Source organism: Homo sapiens, chromosome 4 (genome assembly GCF_000001405.40).
Source record: "Homo sapiens chromosome 4, GRCh38.p14 Primary Assembly".
NCBI lineage: Eukaryota > Metazoa > Chordata > Mammalia > Primates > Hominidae > Homo > Homo sapiens.
This window is the reverse complement of record NC_000004.12, coordinates 38,447,304-38,473,383: the sequence shown is the minus strand read 5'-3', so window position 1 is coordinate 38,473,383 and position 26,080 is coordinate 38,447,304. Positions and strand designations below refer to the sequence as shown.

Genomic DNA, 26,080 nt, shown 5'->3' with positions numbered 1-26,080 from the left:
TATCTATATAAGTAAATTAAAAATTATAAAAGAACACATACAAAAGATGTACACTGTGGTTACCTCTGGGGATGGGGAAAGAAGTGGATGAGAACTGGAGATGGTTAATCAGAAAGGACTTTAACCTTATCTAAAATGTTTTCATTCTTTAATAGGAAAAATTCAGTTTTTTACTCATGTTATTAATAATTTTTAAAAAAAGATTCCATGGTTTCAGAAAGTTTTGACAGCCCTATACTAGTTTTAATGTGTCAAGTTGATGCATTTGGCTGCAAGTAACAGAAAACTTAATCCAAACAATAAGACTTGAACAGTAATGGAGTTTCTAATCCTATATGACAGGCTGCATAGCAGGGTAGAGGGTCGAATGATCCTGACAGCCACATCACTGAAGACTTAGGTTCTTTCTTTTCTTTTTGTCTTTTTTTTGCTTCAGTGGATTTTTTAAGAACGTTGCTTCAAATTTCCTTGCATCCTTGGAGTTTATGTAATCCTGAGTTTATGTAATCCTCAGGCTTATAGCAAGATGATGCTAGCAGTTGTAAGCAAACAACATTCAGAGCAACATAATAATTAGCAAGAGTCATATGGTGCTTACTATGTGAGTTTATATACATTGCATACATTAACTCATTTGTTTTCTCCCTCAAAACTCATTTTACAAATGAAAAAAGCTGAGGCATTGAAAGACTAAGTAATTTACTGAAGGTACATAATTTGTAAGTGGTAGATTCAAACCCAGGCAATCTAGCATAAGAACACGTGCACTGAATCTCTAGGCTGTACTCTATGCCTGTTTTTCCTTGTTGCTTCCCCTCCCCACTTTCACCTGCCCCTCTTTCCTGTCTTTTCTTGTAGTTCTTTCTAAGGAGTAAGGAAAGTTTTCCCAGAGCCCTTCCAGCAGACACCTCTACAACTGTCATTGGCACATTTGGTTCAGTCCTGAACAGATCAGCCTAAACAGATCACCCCTGGAGTTGAGAGTGGGGTCAGCTTCCCCTAGGGACATTGCTGGGTGGAGAGGCATACATACATGAACCAAATCTGTGTTCTCTTTGGAAGGAAGAAAATGGAAAAGTGAAGGGAAATTAATACTAAGGAGATAACCTACAGTATCCAATAAAGGTAATTTCTACTAGTCCTTTGTAGCTCAATGACTTATGCATTTGGATTCCTGTTATGTTGGGCACCCAAGTGAAAATTCCCAGGAAGCAACTGGATACATGGTTCAAATCTTGAGAAAAATCTGGGTTAGAGATACATATCTGGACTGCAGATGTAGATCTGAGTGTCACCAACACATAGATTGTAACTGAAGTCATGGATAGTCAGAAAATTCCCATAGGAGAAAAGTGTAGAGGTTTGAGAGAAGATGATGTAAAATAAAATTTAGTGCTTTTGTCTTACATGATGTTAGATAAAATGTTTTCTTTGGACTTTAACAACACTATAACTGTGTTTACTATATGTAACTGTTATTCATAATATGATGACATGTTTGATTATAATAGTTTATTCTAAACATCATAAAGACTCTTTTACTTTTCAAATCCAACATGTTAAAGGGTCTAATAATGAAATCTTTGAAAGAACAACTTAAATTTGTCCCTGAATAAATATAAGAGGTGAAGCAATCTTGTACCATCAATGGTAACAGAGTTCTGCCCTGGCGTACATAGCCTATCAATTTGCTTTGGATGTGTCTTGTACTTGCAATCTAAGAGATCACTCCTCAGTGTGTGTTAGCCCCATATCTCAGTGGCTTGGCCCAGTAGTTATCTCTTGTTCACCTTGCAGCCCAACATGGCAGAGGGTCTTCTCCTTTACCTAGCAGCTCCACTTTTTTGAGACAGAGTTTTGCTCTTGTTGCCCAGGCCGGATTGGGAGCAATCTCGGCTCACTGCAACCTCTGCCTCCCGGGTTCAGGCGATTCTCCCACCTCAGCCTCCTGAGTAGCTGGGATTACAGGGACCCACCAATATGGTTGGCTAAATTTCTGTATTTTTAGTAGAGACAGGTTTTCACCATGTTGGCCAGGCTGGTTTTAAACTCCTGACCTCAGGTGATCTGCCTGCTTCAGCCTCCCTAAGTGCTGGGATGAACAGGTGTGAGCCACCGCACCTGGCCTCCACTATACTCTTAAGCCTCGAAGTCCTCTGCTGGATTCTCAGCATTTAGCTAGTAGATGAGAAAAGAGAGAAAAGTCATGGTGGATTGCATGAGAGGCACCTGGCCAAGCATGGAGTTGGTGAACATGGCTTCTGACTCACATCCCCTTACCAGAACTTAGGCACAGGGCTAAAGCTAACTGCAGGGAAGTCTGGGAAATGTAGTCTAGTTGTGTGTCCAGGAGGAAGAGGAAAATGGATTGGTGGGTGCCTGGCTTGTCTCTTACACACAATGGATTGAGTGTGTTAAAAGAAAAACCTCAGACAAATCAAATTTAAAGAATTTAGTTGAGCAAAAAATGATTCATGAATTGGGCAGCCCCCAAACCAGAATAGGTTCATAGAGATTCCAGTGCTACCTTGTGGTTGAAGATTTATGAGCAGAAAAAGGACAGTGATGTACAGAAAATGGAGGTGAGGTACAGAAACAGCCAGATTGGTTACAGGTCGGCATTTGCCTTATTTGAACACAATTTGAAGAGTTGGCCACATTTGATTGGCTGAAATTCAGTGTTTGGCATAAGAGTAGGTTACAATCTGTCTACACATCCAGTTAGGTTATAGTTCACTATGTACAGAGACATCTTTAGGCCAAATTTACAAAGAGGCCACTTTAGGTTAAATTTAACAAGTGAAACATTTTCATTATGTCAAATTTTAATGTTTTTGTTTGGCACCTATGTGATAGCTCGTTCCTGTTTATAAAAGACTTTGCTTATGCTATATTCTTTCTCACTGATTACATCTTGGGAATTATTAATATTTCATATTTCTGTTTATTCAGAATCCTCTCATTTTTGCTCTTATTATTTCTGGTTATTCCATTCTTTTTTCAAAATTCTCTGCCTTCTATTTTGCAGACTTGCATTTCAGTCAGAATGAATTCAATCTCTCCTCCAACACCTCAGTGGATATTTTTTTCTGTGTTTCATAGAGTTCTTACAGCTATTTTTATGTAACGTAAAACTCTTAAACTTTGCAATAAGAGATCAAACATTAAAAAAAAATGAAATTATTGGATTCATTAAATAAAACCCCAGAAACACATACAACTCATAGAAACACTTCAATGTACTATGTTAAGGTCAAAGCAGGTAACTTTTGTTTAAGGAGTTACCTGCTTTGACCAGGAGTTGCAGAAGTCATAGCTTAATTTTTACAAGATTAAGTAAATAAATGCTCGGAAACACATATAATTCTTGACAGTCATTATGTGCCCATCAACTGTCATTGTTAATGTTTAAAAGTTAACCAGCATGGTTTTCATGTGATCCTGGCATGATTAGGTCAAAACCACACCCAGCTGAACCTTGGGGAAACATCCTTGAGCATTTTAGATATATTAATATTATTTTCTCTGTTGTTGTCTTTACCATCAGATCAAAAAGGTGCTTAGGGACACATTAGGCCACAGCTGTTGCAATTAATTTCCCCCTTATAGCCTCAAGAGACAAGCCCCAGCAGTGGCCAGCTTAGTCCCAGGTGTGACAAGCCCTAACAGGACACTTTAGCATAGCATTCTGTGGATCCCTCCCTGAAGACAATCGGTAGCTTCATCAGGTGGGGCTGGGGCCAACCCTGTCCTAGGGCTGGGGCTGGGCTGGGGCTGGCCTGAGTGGTGGCAGTCTCTTAAATGCAAGCCTTTCCATTGGCTTGGCTGTACCCCATGCAATTACTCTGGCTAGGTGACTCGACTTTAAGCAAAGTGAAACAGTCTGGGAACCACAAACAGGATGCCTGGCAATTAGCTGCCATTTTACAAGACTGGGTCTTAGGGCCATCAGTTAGCATTTTCTAGGAAGGCGACTACCTGCCCACCATCACCGCCAGCAGTGAATGGTGGCCAAAGCCCTTCCATGGTAGACCAAGTGCTGAAATGTTTGATTTTGCTGAAAATCGTGACCCTAATCTGCTTGAAATTGGATCAGTGTTTTACTACTCACATCATGTCACACAAGTGGTGTGTAACAGCCTAGTTGTTTTTTTCAGCTTTGTTGAAGTGACCTATTTTATGGCTTGCTTTGAGGCCAGAATTAGACTCTTAAGTGCTATATGAAAAGAAATCTAAGCAAAATTAATCTGATCTGATTTGATTATCTGCTGAATCTAAATACGTCTTTCTTACACTGTTCTTGCTCCAGTGGGGTAATTAATTAGTGATTCCATTAGGTGTTTGTGGAAAAACAAGGTTTGGAGGTAATCCCATGCCAAACAAATGCCCAAAATGAAATATAAGAGCTCTTCATTTTATAACCTGTCTCTTGGTAAATGTAAACTTTGCTCTAATGTAGCCAAGGACCTGGGGCAAAGTAGGAAATCAGGGGAAATGGAGTGTGAGATTTTAGCAAACAGGTTCACAATGTGTGCCAAGCTCTGAAGGAGAGGCGGTGGGGAGGAGGGTACCATGAGTGTTGGGAGGTTGGACTTAAACAGATTTCCTTTTTGCTGTTTCTTTCTAGATGGATTCTGCTTGCTCTGCCTCTAGATTGTACGACACAGTCATTCAGCTCCCATTAGACATGTCACTGCTAACAGTGAGCAAAAATAGAAATCACTCTCAGTTGAAAAGGGAGGGAGATGAGTAGGAAAATTTGGGTTGGTCTAATGGAACCTCACCCACTCCTAATGTTCTCCATGCCAACTGAGCAAATGTCTGTAAGCAAAATGCTGTGAATATGGACATACATCAGGAATGGGCACAGGATTGCAGGTCTGGCTTTAAAAGTACATGATACTGTACGTGACCCCAGCTTTTGGAAAAAAAAAAACATGCATAGAAGGAGGAGACACACCAAAGTATTAGGTGATTATGAGTGGGATATAAAGTAATAGGTTTATTCTTTATATTTTTCTAAGTTTCCACTTTTTCTATAGGAGTACACACACACACTATAGCAGTACACACACACACACAGACTGGCTCAAAAGCAATAATGAAAATGTTAGAAAGCTATCTGAGAATAAATAAAGAGAAACTGTCCTTGAGGAATCTTGGCTTTCAGAAGCAAAAAGGTCAGGGAAAGATCTGTTCTTCCCCAACCTGTGAATAAAATCTTCATCCAGTAAAGCAGTACTGTGATGAAAGGAAACAAAATAATGCTTCTGGTTTTCCTCTAGTCAGATTAAGTGCACAGACTCCGGAGCCAGATTGCCTGGAATGGAATCCAGCACTACCAATTACTAGCTAATTAATCCCTCTGAGCCTCAGTTTCCTCATTGGTAAGATCAGGGATAAAAATAGCACCAAATTTATAAAGTTATTGTGAAGATTAAATGACTAATTTGTGTATCTTTAAAATAGTGGCTGGCACATGATAAATGGTAAATAAGTCTTAGGTATTTATTTTAATAATAATCTTATTAATATTATCATTACCAAATAGAGCTTATTGAAACAGTGCCACAGTCTACTACTTTACAGATATTGCTAACTTATTAACATTGAATTTGGGAAAATGGGTACAATAATATTTACCTTGTAAGCATTGATCAGAGCTAATGCAAGTCAAGTGCCAAGAACAGTCTCAATGGATTTTGAGAAATGGTTAGTATCATTTCTAATTTGAGTGAGTATGTTTTGAGCCAAAAGTTTTCAAGCACTTACTATGTGATGGGCATCATGTTCATCTCTTTATGGCCTAGAATGTGGTCTATCTTACTGCATGCTCCATGTAAGCTTGAGAAGAATATGTATCCTGCTGCTGTTGGACAGAATATTCTGTAAATGTTAATTAGATCAAGTTGATTGATAGTACTGTTCAGGTCAACTCTGTCCTTACTGATTTTCTGCTGGCTGGATCGTCAATTACTGACAGAGGAGTGTTGAAGTCTCCAACTCTAATAGCAGGTTTGTCTATTTTATCTTTCAGTTCTATCAGTTCTTGCTTTGTGTATTTTGATGCTCTATATTAAGTGTGTTCATCACTTTTTATTCATTTCCTCATGTAATTTCCACAAAATCAATATGAGGCATTGGTTAGTGGAAGATGTACAAATTTAGGTTAGAGAAATAAAGAGTTTGTCCAATGTCATTATAGGTGGTAAATGGCAGAGCCACGTTTTGAACTCAGGTCTGTCATAGACCATGGCCATCTAAGCTACCAAGTCCATCACTCAATATAATGCCATAGGCCAGAGATTTTAATTGCTGAGAAATGGAAAATAAAGTTTGTGACATATATATAAAGTATGTGCTGTATTCATACAATGGTGGTTATTAAAATATGAAATAAGGAAAAAAATATGAACCTGCTAAGTTTCACTGATTTGGATTGAGGATCAAGGAAGCTGATGAGAGATGCAACTCTCAACATGGAACTGAGCGTGTGTGGTCCTGTATGCATTTTTTTCTCCTACTTGGCTCAGATGTCTTCAACTGACTTTGTGTTCACTGGGTCCTTCTTTCACACAGTCTCAGGGAACTGTCTAGGTTCATGGGGGAGACCCATTAGCTCCAGTGGGGCTGGTTGCCTCAGGAAGTGGAAGTTCAGCTATGGCAGCTAGAGACAGTATCGATATGTTTTTTTCCCCAAGGGTTGGCCTACTTGGTTGGACTGCTCAGGGAAATTCTGAGTTTTTTTCTTTTGGGGGCCACAGGGTGGAGTTGGAGAAGGAGGGTCATGAATCAGGATTTGGCTGGGCAGGTGCTGAGTCACTTATCTTCTATAGATAGCACCCAGCATGCCTGGGGACTAGGAAGCTACATCACCAACATTTCTAGCTGTCAGCATCAGGGTGTTAGCTGGTTGTTTTCCCTTTAGCACCAATTAATGTTCACCTGGATGTTTTAATGTGAATACTTTTGAAATCTCTACTATCAAGGTACTACTTAGCAGTTTAGGTGCCATAAGAAACTGGCTATATTTATGTCTAAAAAGTTTTACAGTGCCTTTTAAAATGTTCTCACCAAAACACTCAAGATTGTATCAGCACTAAGTATGTCATCCACATGAATATCCTTGGAGTCTCACCGTGAATAACGTGATTAAGGAGCATAATGTGTGGCCGCCCAGCCCATTGGGAGCTTCATCAGCCTGACTCTTTAGGTGACTTCCTGGGAGGGAGCAGCATCAACACCCTTCCAGATGGCCTCTGTCTTGGTCCAAGTATTTTTTCTGCCAATAGTAGGACCTACTATGGGGGAAAGTGGAAAGATTATTATTTTTTTAATTAATAAAATTTCTTTTTTTAGAGCAATTTTAGATTCACAGTAAAATACAGCAAAAAGTACAGAGATTTCTCAGAGACCGTTGTTCCCACATGTAAACCACCTCCCCAAATACAGACATCTCATATCACAGTGGTACATTTGTTACACTTGATCAGTCCAGATTGGCACATCATCACCCAAAGTTCATAGTTTTCTTCAGGGGTCCACTCTTGATGGAGTACCTTCTATGGGTTTTGATTAATGTGTAATAGCATGTACCCATGATTATAGTATCATACAGAAAGTTCCACTGCCCTAAATGTCCTCTGTGATCTGCTAATTCATCCCTCCCTCCCACCTACAGTTAAAGGATTTTAAAATTTTATTTAGATTCTTTCTTTCTTTCTTTCTTTCTTTCTTTCTTTCTTTCTTTCTCTCTCTCTTTCTTTTTTTTTTTTTTTTTTTTGAGACAGAGTCTCCCTCTGTAGCCCATGCTGTAGTGCAGTGGCATGATCTTGGCTCACTGCAGCCTCCACCTCCTGGGCCCAGCAATTCTCCTGCCTCAGCCTCCTGGGTAGCTGGGATTACAAGCATGTGGCACCACGCCCGGCTAATTTTGTATTTTTAGTAAAGGTGGGGTTTCACCATGTTGGCCAGACTGGTCTTGAACTCCTGACCTCAGGTGATCTGCCCGCCTTGGCCTCCCAAAGTGCTGGGATTATAGGCGTGAGCCACCGTGCCTGGCCGTGAATATATATATTTCTTTAATGGGCTAAGGAAATTTCTCCCTAGAGAGAAGACCTCAGGTGTGTTTCTGGCTGCCTATCTCCCTCTCCTTTCAGCCGCAGAGGAGGAGGTGGTGGTGGTTGGTGGTGGTAGAGAGAGAAGATGAGAATCTCTCACCATTTTCCCTAACTGCTCTGCTCCCTCTGATCTCTCAGCCATCTTGGTCCAGGGAAGGCAAATCCTTATCCCCTGGAAAATGTGAGATGCAAACAAAGATAAACACTCCAACCTCTCTCCAACTCTCTAGAACAGAAAAAAAAAAAAAAAAGTAAACTATCAAGATTCACACATTTGCAAGAACCGGATCCTGTTTACAAGCACGGCTAAGTCTGGACGGGGCCTGGCTCCTCTGGCTCCCTTTATAAAGCTTGTCCCCACAGCCCCACCCATCCTCATCCTCTTTTGTATAAATTCTGCTTCCTTTGAATGTAAGATAAAAAACTCAGGCACCTATTACTACAGATTTACAATAAAAAACAGCAACAACAACAAAACATTTAAACCAGCAGCAACAATAGGAGGTCAGAAGAAGTAGGTCACTCCTCATAGGTCCTTCTCTGGGTTGAAAAAGTGAAAGTCATCAGCATCTGCCTTTTTTCACAATGTGACCCAAGTTTTCTGCTCTTGTCATAGTCTCTCTATTCAAATGCCTTATGGCAAAACATGTAACCTTACGTTTAAAGCTGACATTCACAAGCACTCACTACATGAGTGCACTCTGCTGTGCACTCCGTTCTCATTTCCTCATTAAGTTTCACAGTATCCCTCTGGGGCTTGGGAAGAGGTGCCTGTGATTGGTTTTGCCACTTTATAGATGAGCAAATAGAGGCATAAAGCAATTGGGGAACTTGGACAGAGTCGCCAGGGCTGATCCATTGTAGACTTAGGTTTTGAACCAGATCAGTCAGTCTTTTTGAACCGAACCAGCCTGAGTTTGCACTCTTAACTACTACAAGATGGCAGCATGGTCTATTAAGGCTGTGCTCTCCAGGGAAGGTCATTGAGGTTAAAGTTGAGAATTCAGGACCTAGAAGAAACTGATGGAGATCTTGACTAGCAACTCTGATTTCCGCTTCTTTATTCTTTTGTTCCCCCACCTCCAACTCAGACATTTTAGCAGGACCATCTTAGCAACGTAATTCATGGAGCCCTGTGAGCTAACAATGCAGCACTCCTTGTTCAAAAATGATTAAACATTTCAAAATGGTGACTGTGAAGGTGGTCTTGCATCTAGCCCTGATTGAATTTGGTTAGTATGTTATTCCAGCATTTTGTCTCTGGAACGCTCTAAATAAACCTCGTTTGGGATGCCCCCCCAGCCCTCAAGCAGGAGGGTCCAGGAAGTGGGTCTGTAGATATTGCCAAGTTCCTATTGGTCCTAGTTGCCTGTGGCCCAAAAAATGAGGCCCAAAAAATGTTGCCATAATCACGCCTGCAGAAAAGTGATGCTGCACACATTTTAAACGGAAACAGTTAATAAAGTTTTTGTTTCAAGTAGTCAGCAATATCTAATTCAATGGACTCTGTAGATAAAATGGCCCAACTTAATCTCTTCCCCAATACAGTAGTCCTCCTTTATTTGCGGTTTCGTTTTCCAAAGATGTGGGGGGTGGCTACTGTATTTGGGGAGACATTAAGTTGGCCATTTATCTGCAACCAACCACAGTCCAAAAATATTAAATAGAAAATTCCGGAAATAAACAGATCTTAAGTTTTAAATTGCACAGTGCTCTGAGTAGCACATTGAAATATCTCTCCATCCTTATCCCTCCTGCCTGGGAAATGAGTCATTGCTTTGTCCAGCGTATCCATGCTGTCTATGCTACCCACCTGTTAGTCAATTAGCAGCCATCTCAGTTATCAGATCAACTCCCTGGTGTCAGAGGGCCTGTGTTCAAGTAACCCTTATTTAACTTAACAATGGCCCCAAAGCACAAGAGTAGTGATGCTGACATGTTGTAATTGTTCTATTTTATTATCAGCTATTGTTGTTAATCTCTTTCTGTGCCTAATTTATAAATTAAACTTTATTATATGTACGTATGTATAGGAAAAAAACAGTATATATATATAGGGTTCAGTATTATCTGTGGTTTCAGGCAACCACTGGAAATCTTGGAACATATCCCCCAAAGATAAGGAGAGATTACTATAGCGAAAAGAATAAAATACACATCCACTTATTATATTTAGTTTATGCAAAACCTCTTTGGGTGCATAAAGAAGGAACAGTTTTGGGGGCAGTGGTCCTGGCTCTGAATTCTTCTGTAGGGCTGGGAGGATGGTTTAAGGCACACAGAGGCATTTTCACATGCAAAGCCTTAGGCAAACACCAGCTTCCTTCCAAGGAAGGGCGTCTTCTGCCAAGACAAGACCCGGGAAGGGTGTGGGCCCCACCCAGTAGGCGATGCTTCAGGGCAGACTTTGGGCCTAGCAGGCAGCTGGGTCAGAATCTCCCTGTGCAGGGCAAACTGGTCAGGGGAGATTGCAGAAGGCCTGCAGAGACGTGCTTCAGAGCAGACAGTCCACATTGTCAGGGTGGAGACCCCTAAGGGTCTCAGGAGAGCAGGGCAGGACCTGGGTGGGGTCAGATCACAGATGCAGATCTGTAGGCCCTACAGCTAATAATAATATTTAACACTGATAGAGCAGTTAGTATGTGCCAGGCACAGTTCTCTAAGCATTTGATGTGCATCAAATAATTCAGTGGCTCTCAAACTTGAGTATGCATCAGAATCGAGGCTTGTTAAAACACAGATGGCTGGGCCACCTCCAGAGTTTTTGATTCAGTAGCTCGTGCATTCTCCCTCTCTTCTTTCTAAAGCCTATCTATTACCATGTCTTGTTTGGGTCACTCCCCTTCCAGGACATCTTCCCTGCCTGTGCTAGGTCTGTTGTTTCTCCTCTGAACTCTTCTACCTCAAAGTGTATCAATTAAGGGCATGACTAGATCTGGGTTTGAATCCTAGCTCTACCATTTACCAGTTCTATGACCTCGAACAAGTGATTTTATTGCTCTGTGCCTCCACTTTTCTCATATGAAAAATGGGAATTATACTACCTACTTCATAGAATTGTTATAATGATTAAATCAGTATATACATGGTATAATAATAGCAGAAGAAATGTTTTATATGTATGTGTATATAACATTTATATATGTATAATATATACATGCATATAATTTGTAGAACAGTGTAAGAAGTTAAATTTTACTTCTAATTTAGTTGTGATGTTATTTCCTTATTCGTGAAAATTAGAACTATAATAGTTAACACATATTTAAGTGTCTTTACTATTGTTTTTTTTTTTTTTTTTTTTGAGGCGGAGTCTTGCTCTGTGGCCCAGGCTGGTGCAGTGGCGTGATCTCGGCTCACTGCAACCTCGCTTCCCAGGTTCAAGCGATTCTCCTGCCTCAGCCTCCCGAGTAGCTGGGATTACAGGCACCCTCCACCACACTCAGCTAATTTTTGTATTTTTAGTAGAGACGGGGTTTCCCCATGTTGACCAGGCTGGTCTCGAACTCCTGACCTCAGGTGATCCACCTGCCTTGGCCTCCCAAAGTGCTGGGGTTACAGGCGTGAGCCACCGTGCCCAGCCGTGTCTTTACTATTAAATCCTATGGTGGTGGGATCTGAGAAGGGAATCCAGGATAAGAAGTGATGGAAAGGATGCTGGAGAAGGGGGTGGAGCTGCTAACCCAGACAGGAAGGCCTTGGCCATTCATTGGTTGAAGGAATGCCAATCATGTCTGCTCTGCCAATGAGCAGCTCATTAGAGGCTTCTTTCAGAAAAGACAGGGAGCAGATCCTGGAGCGGAGACTTTAAAAATGAAGAGGTGGAAAGTCGTCTGGCAGACAGAGGGGACGATGTATTGCAATCAGGTTCTGGAACATAGATGTCAGTCAAAACAAGCCTGTGCTGCCACGTGAATGACCAAACCAAGATTCCAGCTTAGAAGAATATGGGGAAAAGCTACCTCCCTCTGAAGAGTAGAAATTAGATTAATAACCATTTCAGGCCAGGACATTTGTTCTGGCAAATCCAACAGACAAGAGAAAAACAAGCCGGGGACTTGTCATGGACAAGGTCAATGCCTAGAGTTCATTTAACATCATAGAGCCCACAAGGTGTGATGGGTCATGGAGGCTGCCACGTGGTCACTAAACACTGGCCTGGAGCTCAATAGGGAAGACTTCTTGGGGACAAGATAGGGCAGTGTTTTTTCATCCCAAGGATAAGTATCATGACAGGAAGGGTGTTACAGGCAGGACCGGCTACATAATTTGTAGGATCCAGTGCAAACTAAAAATGCTCTTGTTCAAAGAGCAGGATGAAAGATGTGTTAAAGGTATTAAAATATAAGACATTTTTCTTCCAAGGTCGCTCTGTCAACCTGTCGTAATGTTTTTGTTTCTGTTTTTTGTCATTTAATATTGTGTTGTGCACAGGGACACTTTTATTAGGGCAGTTACTGACTGTCAGTTACCTGTCCCCTGACTCGGAACACTTGGCCCACCTGTTCCCAGGTTCTCCCTCCCAGCCACCACGACACTAACACATCATCCCTGGCCAGGAACAGGCAGGTCGAGGCAGACATCTCCCCTTCCCACAGATCTGCCACCTCCACCTATGGTGGATAGGCTGATCCCCAAGGGTATTGCAACCTCCACATGAGATGTATGGTAGGAATGTGGATCAGGGCTAGGTGAGAGGCTCATCCTGCAGAATCACCTGCCCAACGCATGTATTGTAATGCTGCCAACCTGGGGCAGGGATGGCTGCTGCAATGCTCAGCCCCAAGACTTCGCAGGGCACATATGCAGACCCCCAGCCATTCCCACATCAATGCCCAGACTCCTGCTGGGCCAGAAGACAACAGTGGTCGCTGAGTGGGTGCAGCCATAAGGAGGCCAGATTCAGCTGTTGCTCTTCTGGTCTAGGTGGGACCCAGGGTACCAGAGGAAGAAGTAGGTGGCTGGGCACCCATCTCTGGGAGGCGGTGGGGCATTGGGAAGCTGGATGGTTTGTGAACAAATCCTCTGAGCCACCCTCTTTCTTGTATTCTTCATTGTCCCATTAAACTTAAGTTTCATAATACAAATTCAAAGATAACATTTTTAAGAATTTTAATATAGTGACTGTAGAGCATTAAACCCCAAGCTCCAGGCCCTTCTGAGCATGGGGCTCTCTGCAACTGCACTGGTCAAATGCCCATGAAGCTGGCCCTGGTTGCAAATGAGGGGACTTAGCTCAGGGCCAGAGAAGAGAGTTTAGGGTAAGCAGGGGGACCAGGGAGTGGTTCTGAGAGAGACTTGGTCTCTCACCGGATAGGAAAGATGTATCAAGCCACATCTACTTTGGAGGAAAAAAAACTGAATATTTTACCTTAGCATCCATCCCAGATAGGCAGGGTAAAGGGAGAAAATTTGGGAGTTTACCTTGTAAGCTGTGCTATTAATCTCAGTTCAGGTAAGTATGGCTTAGCAACATATATTCTCAGTGAGCTCATCAACATTTAGTCTCCTGGGAAACTGTTTTTTTGTTTCTTAGTTTGATTAGTAAAAGTTTCTTCAGAGGATTGCCAATCTTGATTTGGGCAGACAAAAAGGACAAGGATTTTTTCCACATTCAGCTGGGTATACAGGGCCTCAGTGTCTCTCTGGAGGCCACGTGCAGGGGAAGACGGGCACTGAATCATCCCTAGCACTGGGAGATCGGAGTGGCTGGATGGATAGTGTGGGAACCCTAGAGGCTATGAGTGCTGCTCTGTCTGGCCTGGACAGCTTGCTCCCACTGGCACATACAAGGGGCAACAATCATGGAAGAAGAATGGTTTTCAACATTCCCAAACAGATCACACATGGGTGAGCATTTTCCTTCCCAGAAGTCATCTTGAGGCTTGTGCACACACTCTAATATCCTGAAAGTTAGTGTGGTAGAGGAGAAAGCTTATGGACTTTTAAGGGAGTCAGACCTAGGGTAGAATCATGGCTTTGATGTGTTTATAATCCCTCCCTCCTTCCCTCGCTTCCTTCCTTCTCCTTTTTGCTCCCTCCCTTTCTCCCTCTCTCCTCCCTCCATACATTCACCAAATAGTTAGTGAATTTCTGCTTCATACTAGTCTGTGCTAAGTGCTGTGATACAGTGGTGAACAAGGCAGACACACAATCCCTTTTCTGATGGAGCCTACCTTGGGGAGGGCATTGGACAATTATGCAGAGGATGCGTATAATGACAGGCAAATAATGGGTGCTATAAAAGGATGTTGTGAGGGGATTTAGCTAGATGGAGGCATCATGGACAAGGTCCTCATCTCTTCATTGACCTCTACCCTAAATTGTGAGAATTAAAGATAATGTAACATCTCTACCACCATGCCTGGTCCCTGATGACATGTGAGTATTCAAATCAGATTTGGGATCCTTACTGGGGAACTGTCACCAGAGTCCATTTCAAGCTGTACTGATGGTCATTTCTTTATTATCCTCCATTATCTCTTTTTGTACCAATTATCTTTGCACCTTGCTGCCCCTCTAAGATTTGGATTCCCTGGAGGGCAGAAATAGGTAGTTACCCTCTTTGAGTCTCCAGAGTGCCTATAACAGTGCCCAGCATATAGTAGCTGCTCAGTAAATGTTGCTGGATTAAAATGAATTGAATAATAAAAATGAGAAAGAATCCCAGAGAAAGGGAACCAAAAAGAGAACTTTTTATAGGGAGACACTGTAGCCAATTCTGCCATTCTGACATTTTCTTTATAACCTCTTGGGAGAATAAAAACTAACACATACCACACTCCTTGTTTCATCTTTTCCTCTGCTATTAGGCAGAGAGAATTAATGAAAGGAAGAATATTGAGTTAGGGTTTTACTCCAAGGGCTTCTTCTTAATTATGTGGTGAGGCATTAATTAAAAATCTAATTAATCATAATAAGCTTTTGCTGTTGTACTCACCGGTAAGGTGCAGGTTTTCTGAGAAAAAGAAGCTACAGGAGCTCTGAGCTGTGTGCAAAAATATATCTAAATAGATGGTGAATCTCTGAGCAGGAAATCCTTCTGGTGGGCCAGTTGGGATTACCTCTTCCAGGCTCACATACAGAGATGGGCTTGTCGTGGAGTGAATGAAGCTGGAGCTTTGGGCCCCTCACTTATGTAGGTCTTTCCAAGACTGTGGTAGGGGTCCTCCAGGGATATTTGATCATATATGTATGATATGGTTTGGTTCTCTGTCCCCACCCAAATTTCATCTTGAATTGTAATCCCCACACGTTGAAGGAGGGACCAGTAATCTCCACATGTTGAGGGAGGGAGGTGATTAGATCATGGGGGTGGTTCCCCCATGCTGTTCTCGTGATAGTGAGTGAGTTCTCACAAGATCTGATGGTTTTATAAGCATCTGGCGTATCCTCTGCTTGCACTTTTCTCTCTTGCCACCAAGTGAAGAAGGTCCTTGTTTCCCCTTTGCCTTCTGCCATAATTTAAGTTTCCTGAGGCCTCCCCAGCCATGTGGAACTGTGAGTCAATTAAAACTCTTTCCTTTATAAATTACCCAGTCTTGGGCAGTATCTTGATAGCAGTTTGAGAATGAACTAATACTATATATATAGTATTAGTACTTGTAAGATATTTTCACACAATAAAACTGGGATTTCCCTTACTAATGTGTCTCCTAGGAAAAGTCTAGGGTAGAAGATGGAGCCGAGGAGGTATGATGTGAAGAATGAGGATAATCTCGATGATGATAATGTAGGTGTGACTGGATGGAGAGAGAACGGAAAGAGGAGCTGCACACAGCCAAGAGAATGTGTTGGACAATTGTTTTGAATCAAAATAGATGATCCAAAAAGGCCTGGTGAAAGTGTCTGAAAGTCAATTCCTCAAAGTCAGAAGGCACATACTAACCTCAGGGGCAGGGTGGAGTTCATGGAGGGGCTTCAGGGCTCCATGAGCATCCTGAAACTGTTTGCAAGTTGTTTGTGTATATGCACTTTTTTGTCTGGGAAGAGAAATTGTGCTCACAAAGTTGGGAAGCTCTGAAATGAGCATGAGAAAGAATGGATTCTCTAAGGTTTTAGTATTTAGGGAAAAAACATATAATGGTAAGAGGGAATAGAATTTATAAGCAAAAATAGTATGTGACATAATTTGGTTGTCTCTTCACTAGTTCTTGTTTGAGTCCATGTCTTGGGGCAGGTGCAGTGAGACAGGCTGGCAGCAACCTCCCACTTGGTGGGCAGCCTGGTGTAGGGGAAGGGATTTGCTCCTTCAACCTGTGGATCAGAAAGAAGGAAACTTAGAGAAGCCTCTTAGGCTGCCTCCATGTGAGGGTCAGCAGGCTCATCTGTGTCCAATCCAACTCACAGGGAGGAGGCCAGAGAAGTACAAGGGACAAAGAGAAAGGCGTCCCCTGGGGATCTTTTGTGGTCTGAGTTAATTGGAGATTCCAAGATTGAGGATCCTGGCCAAATCTCCTGCATATCATGATTTCTTCCTATGCGTCAAGGCCAGAACCAGGGATTGAAAAAATGGACTGTAAGAAAGATTTTTAAAAAATAAAATAAAATTCTTAGTAACAACGTAATGTTGGTTGCCTAGAGATTCATTTTAACTAGAGGTTGAAAATAGCAGGACTGGGTCCCAAAGAGGAAAGAACTCTACTTCTTCTGTAGCCAAGAAGGGGATAGGGTCCTTACCAGCCCTATCAGGACCAGGAAGGTTGATCTTAGACACAGGGTGAAGTTAGAACCAGTCTAGGAACCATGGCCAAGCTGAAGCCACAAGGTCAAGGTCAGACTGAAAAGTGGGCTGGGAAGAAGGATCCTTGGACTCCAAGGAGGGAGCCAGGGAGTTCATCTTTCATGAGGTCAGGGAGTGGCATTGGATCAGAACCCAAATCTGTAGCCAGAAACCAGGTGCCTGCCTGTAGTTTCCACCTACACACCCACCTGAGCCAGGTGCAGCCACTTCCCTGCCTGCACCTGCACAGCCTGGGCTGGCGGGGCTCATAGTTTGGTCCCACCCCACTTGGAAGCAAGCAGGAGCTTCCTGCCCATGGGCAAACATGTGGCTCAGAATCAAGTTCTCTTTGCTATTCTTCTGGTGTCTGTGCCTGGCCAGCATGGCCATCTCTTGGACCACCTGCTTCTCATACTCCTGACCCCAACCCAGTCCAGGCCCTCACATTTTGTCTTGACTTCTCCAGTGCCAGCCTCTTGCACTCTCCCTGTAACCCTGCAGTCCCATCCCCATGTCAGGAAACACGGCCAGACTCCAGTGCTGAAGGAAGAGAATGGCATTAAGGCCATGACTCAGGCAATGTTAGAAAAAGAAGTCACCCCTTCATTCATTCCCTAGTAGTGTCAATAACATGTTAATTCAAAATCTAAGAAGCCAAAGAGGTGGAGGAAGCTATCAGAGGTACAGATTTTGTCACTTTTAGCCCCTGAGCAAAGAGCAAGGACAGCCAAAAAAATCCCTCTAGTGTTCTGAGACATCAGCCTATTTACCCAGATCATGTGTACACTTCTGAAGAAAGAGTTATACATAAAGAGAGTCTATTCTCCTTCTTCAGCACGGGAAGTATGTGCTCAATCTGGGCAAGGGTTAACCACTTCAGATTATATCAAGCTTGGGTTTAACTTTTAAACAAGATGCTAGAGGGCATGTTTTAACTGTTGTGTTGCATTGTGAATTTAGAGTTTGGGTGTGGAAGACCAGCCTCTCTGCTTTATAATCTACACAGGTGTGCAGAGGACTTCAAAGCCTCGTTCTAGAAGGAGGTTATTGAGAATTACCTCTGGGGAAGAAAGAAAGGAATCCCACAGAACAGATGCCGAGAGAAGCAAACTAAACTCTCCTTGAGCGGTTGCCTTTGCATTCATTTTAAAATTTCAAAATCTTTTTCTTGAGATCTTCTTGCTCAAGAATGGGGACTTTCCCATTCCACAGTATGATTTCACATTCGAAAAACCTCTATTCTTTTCTGAAAGTGATTCTAACAGAAAGTTGACCCAGGGAAATTTTAGCAGCATGTTAGGCTGCTGGGTAGAACCCATTTTAGTTCTGTCTTTCAGCCTAGCACACTCCACATTCTCAGACATCGCTTCTTGAGAGTGTACTAACCATCAACTATCATTTCACAATGGAGAAGGTAAAATGCGGTCACTTTAGCATTGATTTCTCTTCTATAATAGCAATGAAATAAGTGAGCATAGTATTCTTTTTAATGAAATGACAGTGCTGCCTAATTGACTAATATTCCGCAGGGCGTACGGTTGTGTTTTTCAACAGTGATGTTGGGGATGATTGTTGTTAGCATGTGGGAAAAAAAATTCCTCCTTCCAAATGTCAATATTTGAGTCCTACTAAAAGCTGAGGGGCATGTATGCATTTAGTCAAAGGCATATTTTACTTCTTGGTATTTTCAATGATTTGTGGCCAATGGATCATGAAAATGAAATCTTAAAACCCCAAGAAACCATCAGAAACCAAGCTAGGCATTTAGCGTATTTCACGGTAATTATTTCTACCCCACTCCATGATGAAAATGTTTGTTTTCCCCGATTTATTTGCTTTTTCATTTATTGCCATTTTGAGAACTTCCAGATTAAATTGCCTGTTCCTCTGAGGATAGGATAACTGAACCTAGAGCTTGGAAAGTCCTGTTTAGTTCAGTCAATCCCACTGTTCCTCGCAGAACAGGAAAGAGAGTAATACTTCTCATTTCACAGAGGTTTCTCACTTTTTTTTTTTTTTCTAGGAAAGGCTATTTCCACTATGATGATGAACCACTGTTCATCATTGTAATACATAGTACTTTAAACAATTACAACTTGTAACTCCAATTTCTTGTTAAAGCATCCACCAAGTTTAGTCACGTATTTTCTGGGCAACAACTATAGCAATTGAATTGGTTTAATCATGTGTCATGTTACCTTCTAGCTTGCTATGTAGCCGAGCTATAGATATCCTACTTATTCTTTTCCCTCATTTCATCTTAGCAGTTTTTCCTATTCTTGCTAGTTATTCCTAATGCCTTTTAATTGGGGGTACTTCTTTCCTTTGTTTTGCATAGTTTCTCATGGCAGAGATGCTTAATCAATTGTCCTGTGTCCATTTTCCACTTGTCCCTAGTAACGGAACCCACTGCCAGTTTTAGCAAAATACATTGTTCCACTGTCCTCCTAGCCTCCGAAATAGAATTGACACCCCCTTGTCTCCCTTGCAGCTGGCTATGACCATGTGACTAAGCTCTCACTAATGGAAGGTGAGCAGAATTGAGGAGTGATGGGCATAACTTGTGTTCACTGCCATAAAAGAATGTCATTCCACTTCCTCTCCTTCTTCCTCCCTATAGGGTAGGCTGGAACTTGGATGTGCATTGGCAGGTCTGCATTGGCAGACCAGATGTCACCATACAGACAACAATATCCTACAGGACAGAAAAGCTTGAAAGTAAAAGAAACTTTGGTGTTTGAATAAACCACACATTTGTCCTGGACAACCTGCCTATCGTTGAACTGTTACATGAGAGAAAAAGAGATTTCTCTCTTATTTGAACAATTGCATTTTCAAGTCTTTTTGTTACAGCAGCATAACTGATACCCTAACCCTGACAAATACATTTTTAAACAAAAGGAGGAATGCTACTATCGTACTCTATGCTGGTCCAGTCTTACTTGGGGTGCAGTATTCTCATCTGTGAATCACATTTCAAGGGGCCTAAAGACAAAGTAGAAGTGTTCAGATAACAGCAACATGATTGGTGAGAAATTCAAAGTTGAAGAAACTGGAAGAGCAGATTTAGAGTAAGTAGGAGTGCCACTTTCAAATGTCTGAGGAACTGGCCTGTGAAAGAATGATTCACTTTGTTCTGTGTAGTTTCAGTAGATAGAAGTATGGTTCAACGGGAAAACTGATTTTGCTGAAGAGAAAGATTTCTGGCTGTCAGGTCTGCATAGACATTGGAGGCACTGAGTTCCCTGCTCATGGAGATATTTTTCACAGAGCCTGGATAATCATTTGGCTGGATTTGTAACAACTGTGTATCATACAGGTATGTTACATAAATTGCCTCAAATTCTTAGAACAATGCTGATAATTATATATTTTAATTTCCATTTGATAGAAAGGAAATATTAATCTAAGACCAGTTAAAACTGCTCCAGGATCACAGACCCAGTTAGTAGCAGGGTCCAGGTTCTTTCTACTGACCACTGGTAAAGCTAATTTACAAAATGGCCTGAACATTTCTCCCAAATCTGAATTTGATGAGTCCCCTAGAAAATTGTGTTTCCTAAATCTTTCCTTGAATTCTGAAGTATCTGAGCCAGCAACATTTCCTGAAATTGGTGTGCATACTCTCCCAAATTTTAACCTCATAGCCAGTTTACTTTGGGCCCTCCTTTATGTGTCAGAGATTGCCAGCTGGTCACCGAACCATTTTCTTTCCTTCTTGGCACAGCATGAAAATGCATTTTCTAGCTTCCCTTGAAGTGAAATGTGAGCAAAAATGATGCCAGCCACTCCCAGACCGGCCCATAGAAACCTCCCATATTCTTTCTTCTTCTGCTGCTGGATATTGACACAGGGGATGACTTTGAAAGCTGAGTATTGAAGATGGCAGAAGCTGTCTTTCAGCCTTGGTCCCTGAACAACATGTTGAGCAGATCCCGTGGTAATCTGGAACTGCCCTGGACTGTGTAAGTGAGTGAGACATAAACTCTTACTATGCTTGAGCCATTTTACATGTAACAGCAGTTAGCTTTCCTTACTTAATGCTCTTTATACCCTGCTACTAAATAGCAAGAATTGTAACTTTAGATCACAGGACTATGTGAATAGTCATTATATTTGTCAACAACTCTAACAGGCTGAACTTTTTATTCCTCAGTTATTTAAAATTGTGGTAAAATACACATAACATAAAATTTACCATCTTACCCATGTTAAGTATACAGTTCAGTGGTATTAAGTACATTTGTAGTGCTATATGTTCATCACCACCATCTACCTCCAGAACTCTTTTCATCTTGTAAAACTGAAACTCTGTGCCCATTAAACAGTAACTCCATTCCCTCCTCCACACAAGCCTCTGGCAACCACCACTGTACTTTCTGTTTCTATGGTTTTGATTATTCTAAGTACCTCATATAAGTGGAATCATGCACTATTTGTCTTTTTTTGTTGTTGGCAGATTTCACTTAGCATACTGTCCTCAAGTTTCATCCATGTGTCAGAATTTCCTTCCTTTTTGCAGCTGAATAATATTCTATTATATGTGTGTACCACATTTTGTTTATCCATTCATTCATCAGTGGACACTTGGGTTGCTCCTACATGTTAGCTATTATGAATGATAGAGTTTGGGTGTGTGTCCCCACCCAAATCTCATATGGAAATGTAATCTTCAATATTGGAAGTGGGGCTTGGTGGGAGGTGATTGGATCATGGGGGTGGATTTTTCATGGATGATTTATCACCATCCCCCTTGGTACTGTCCTAGTGATAGTACGTTTTTGTGAGATCTGATCATTTAAAAGTGTTTGGCACCTCCCCCGCTCCTTGCTCCTATTTTTTTTGCCATGAAATGTGGCTGCTTCCTGTTTGCCTTCCACCATGACTGGAAGCTTCTTGAGACCTCCCTGGAAGCAGATGCTGCTATGCTTCCTGCACAGCCTACAGAACCATGAGCCGATTAAACCTCTTTTCTTACAAATTACTGAGTCTTAGGTATTTCTTTGTAACAATGCAACAACAGCCTAATACAATGAACTATGCTGCCATAAACATGGATGTACAAGTATTTATTTGAGATCCTGTTTTCCATTCTTTTTGTTGTATACTCAGAAGTAGAATTGCTGGATCATATGGCAATTCTATTTTTAATTTTTTGAGGAACCTAGGTTAAACTTTTTGAAACTGCAGATATTGAACCAGTTTTATGTTTACCAAAAAAGCAGAACTTTAACACAATCTAATCTGTTTATTCCATCTCTCACTCTCTTGACTTCTCCATAACCCTATCCAACTGATAAAGAGGAATCAACTTCTTTATACAACAATGGCAGAGAAGTTCTACAATATGGAGTCCTGTGATAAAAGGTAATGCCAAAAGTTTGTCCAATGGTGACTTATGGTTCAGTCCACTCATTTTTGGTTTTTAGATTCTTCAGTGTCCTTCTTTTATCTGTTTCTAAAGTTACAAACTACCAGGAAATTTCTCATGGGAAAAAAAAATCTGTATCTTCGGATTATTTTACAAATCGGAAGACTAGAACATGTATATCAAAACCAGCTGGCGGCCCAGCACAGTGGCTCATGCCTGTAATACCAGCACTTTGGGAGGCCAAGGTGGGTGGATCACCTGAGGTCAGGAGTTCGAGACCAGCCTGGTCAACATGGCGAAACCCTGTTGCTAAAAATACAAAAATTAGCTGGGCTTGGTGGCGCATGCCTGTAGTCCCAGCTACACAGGAGGCTGAGGCAGGAGAATCACTTGAACCCTGGAGGCCAAGGTTTCAGTGAGCTGCAATCGTGCCACTGCACTCCAGCCTGGGTAACAGAGCCAGACTCCATCTCAAAACAAACACACACACACACACACACACACACACACACACACACACACACACACAAACCAACAACTGGCACCAGGGGGTCTTCCTTAGACAGGTCATACCTTCTCCAGTCCTACAGACACAGAGTCCCTTTTGATCTCTAATGCTGATGTGCACGTCAAATGCCACGTGTCTTTGTGACATGGCTTTTTCTAAAGCTGGTCCTACAGGCTGTTTGCACCTGCGATCCCTGGAATCACTTCAGTAAAATCAATGATTAACAAAGAGCTACTCTCCGGCCCTTTCCTGAGAGCTTGTTTTGAAGAAGTTAGAACTCTTTGCAAGGCAGTAAACCCTTCCTGGGAGTTGGCAGGAAAAGCCAGGAAGTCTTCTCATTATTATTGAGCACTGATCTTCCTTGTAGGGGCATATACCTAGCATACCAAAATTTACTCTCTGCAGCCCCCAACTTCCTGTCAGTAACACAAATGTAGGACATAAGTGAAGCTTTGCGAAAAAGGAGGATAGGATTTATTGTTCTGTTTTTAATTGAAAGCCCAAATAGCGATATTGATTGGTTTGATTCCACCAGAGAGTTAAACAATTTCCTTCCACATCCCCAAATCCCCAACTATGCAGAGCTGCAGCGGTCACCACCAGCCTCCTCAATGTTGTGCAGGTCCAGCTGACTGACCCACCAGCTGGTGACCAGCAGAGCAGAGGAGGAGCAAGCACAGGACCTTCACCTTTCCTGCCAGGTGTGGGCGCCAGTCAAGGTGGGCTCCAGGCTCTGATGCAGGCATGAGAGGATGTTGCAGCAGATGTGCTGCTTGCTTTTAAAGCTCTGGAACACAACAAAGATGAGGTTTTCTGTAGATGTGTACATGATTTTCATATAGAAAGATTTCCTTTTTCCTAAAGTCTAGAAAACAAGTAAATACCAAGTGAATCACTGACCTCCCAGAAACTATTTTATGCTCATGGTATGCACTGGTGGAGGGAGGTGACTAACGCAGGGCAGCCGAGCTGAGTACTTAAAGCTGGTTTTGCTCAATCTGTGGTACGGGTACTCATAGGGTAAGCATGATAATTTGGGGGTGATACACAGATATACATTTACAAATGTTAATAGTGTGATGTTGACACATGGAAACAGAGAGGGGAACAACAGACACTGGGGCCCAGCAGAGGGTGGAGGGTCGAGGAGGGAGAGGATTGGGAAACGTAATTAATGTACACTAGGCTTAACATCTGGATGACAAAATAATCTGTACAACAGGCCAGGCATGGTGGCTCATGCCTGGAATCCCAGCACTTTGGGAGACTGAGGCAGGCAGATCACGTGAAGTCAGGAGTTCGAGACCAGCCTGGCCAACATGGCAAAACCCCGTCTCTAGTAAAAATACAAAAATTAGCCAGGCGTGGTGGCATGTGCCTGTAATCCCAGCTACTCAGGAGGCTGAGGCAGGAGAGAATTGCATGAACCTGGGAGGTGGAGGTTGCAGTGAGCCGAGATCACACCACTGCACTCCAGCCTGGGTGACAGAGTGAGACTCCATCTCCAAAAGAAAAAAAAAAAAAAAAATCTGTACAACAAACCCTCATGACAAAAGTTTATCTAAACAAACCTGCACATCTACCCCTGAGCTTAAAATAAAAGTTTAATACTAAAAGAGAAAAAAAAAGATGTTTTTCAACGTAATATTACCTTTCACGCCAAAACAGGTGAATATAAATAGACATAAAAAATAGTGTGATATTTACGTTAATGTGCATTAGAATAAAAATTTAAGGGGGGTGGAGTCAAGATGGTCAAATAGGAACAGCTGCAGTCTACAGCTCCCAGCGTGAGTGATGCAGAAGATGGGTGATTTCTGCATTTCCAACTGAGGTACCAGGTTCATCTCACTGGGGAGTGTCAGACAGTGGGTGCAGTGCACCGAGCATGAGCTGAAGCAGGGCGAGGCATTGCCTCATTCAGGAAGTGCAAGGGGTCAGGGAATTCCCTTTCTTAGTCAAAGAAAGGGGTGACAGACGGCACCTGGAAAATCGGGTCACTCCCACCCTAATACTGCACTTTTCCAATGGTCTTAGCAAATGGCACACCAGGAGATTATATCCTGCACATGGCTCGGAGGGTCCTACGCCCATGGAGCCTCGCTCATTGCTAGCACAGCAGTCTGAGATCAAACTGCAAGGTGGCAGCGAGGCTGGGGGAGGGGTGCCCGCCATTGCTGAGGCTTGAGTAGGTAAACAGAGCAGCCAGGAAGCTCAAACTGGGTGGAGCCCACCGCAGCTCAAGGAGGCCTGCCTGCCTCTGTAGACTCCACCTCTGGGGGCAGGGCATAGCCCAACAAAAGGCAGCAGAAACCTCTGCAGACTTAAATATCCCTCTCTGACAGCTTTGAAGAGAGTAGTGTTTCTCCCAGCACGCAGCTGGAGACCTGAGAACGGAAAGACTGCCTCCTCAAGTGGGTTCCTGACCCTCGAGTAGCCTAACTGGGAGGCACCCCCCAGTAGGGGCAGACTGACACCTCACACGGCCAGGTACTCCTCTGAGACAAAACTTCCAGAGGAACGATCAGGCAGCAACATTTGCTATTCACCAATATCCGCTGTTCTGCAGCCTCTGCTGCTGATACCCAGGAAAACAGGGTCTGCAGTGGACCTCCAGCAAACTCCAACAGACCTGCAGCTGAGGGTCCTGACTGTTAGAAGGAAAACTAACAAACAGAAAGGACATCCACACCAAAACCCCATCTGCACGTCACCATCATCAAAGACCAAAGGTAGATAAAACCACAAAGATGGGGAAAAAACAGAGCAGAAAAACTGGAAACTCTAAAAATCAGAGTGCCTCTCCTCCTCCAAAGGAACGCAGTTCCTCACCAGCAATGGAACAAAGGTGGATGGAGAATGACTTTGACGAGTTGAGAGAAGAAGGCTTCAGACGATCAAACTACTCTGAGCTAAAGGAGGAAGTTCGAACCCATGGCAAAGAAGTTAAAAACTTTGAAAAAAGATTAGAAGAATGGCTAACTAGAATGACCAATGCAGAGAAGTCCTTAAATAACCTGATGGAGCTGAAAACCACCACACAAGAACTACGTGATGAATGCACAAGCCTCAGTAGCCGATTTGATCAACTGGAAGAAAGGGTATCAGTGATGGAAGATCAAATGATTGAAATGAAGCGAGAAGAGAAGTTTAGAGTAAAAGAATAAAAAGAAACGAACAAAGCCTCCAGGAAATATGGGACTATGTGAAAAGACCAAATCTACGTCTCATTGGTGTACCTGAAAGTGACGGGGAGAATGGAACCAAGTTGGAAAACACTCTGCAGGATATTATCCAGGAGAACTTCCACAATCTAGCAAGGCAGGCCAATATTCAAATTCAGGAAATACAGAGAATGC

At 42.4% G+C, this 26,080-nt stretch overlaps 1 long non-coding RNA gene across 1 annotated transcript in view, besides 2 other annotated features; it reads left to right on the top strand.

The window, feature by feature from the left end:
- The window catches only part of LINC01258 (long intergenic non-protein coding RNA 1258), a 102,519-nt gene that overhangs the window by 49,797 nt on the left and 26,642 nt on the right, over positions 1–26,080 (top strand). Inside the window, exons 3-6 of the long non-coding RNA NR_110951.1 lie at positions 19,463–20,161; positions 20,570–20,811; positions 22,145–22,209; positions 23,344–23,440. This is a non-coding gene — a long non-coding RNA (long intergenic non-protein coding RNA 1258). The remainder of the gene's footprint in view (positions 1–19,462; positions 20,162–20,569; positions 20,812–22,144; positions 22,210–23,343; positions 23,441–26,080) is intronic.
- Positions 21,021–21,090: an enhancer, noted in NCBI's record as "active region_21435". NCBI's record gives its function as "activates an Ori minimal core promoter by ATAC-STARR-seq in GM12878 lymphoblastoid cells {active_cell/tissue: GM12878}" and the evidence as "EXISTENCE:reporter gene assay evidence [ECO:0000049][PMID:35858748]".
- Positions 21,101–21,250: an enhancer, noted in NCBI's record as "active region_21434". NCBI's record gives its function as "activates an Ori minimal core promoter by ATAC-STARR-seq in GM12878 lymphoblastoid cells {active_cell/tissue: GM12878}" and the evidence as "EXISTENCE:reporter gene assay evidence [ECO:0000049][PMID:35858748]".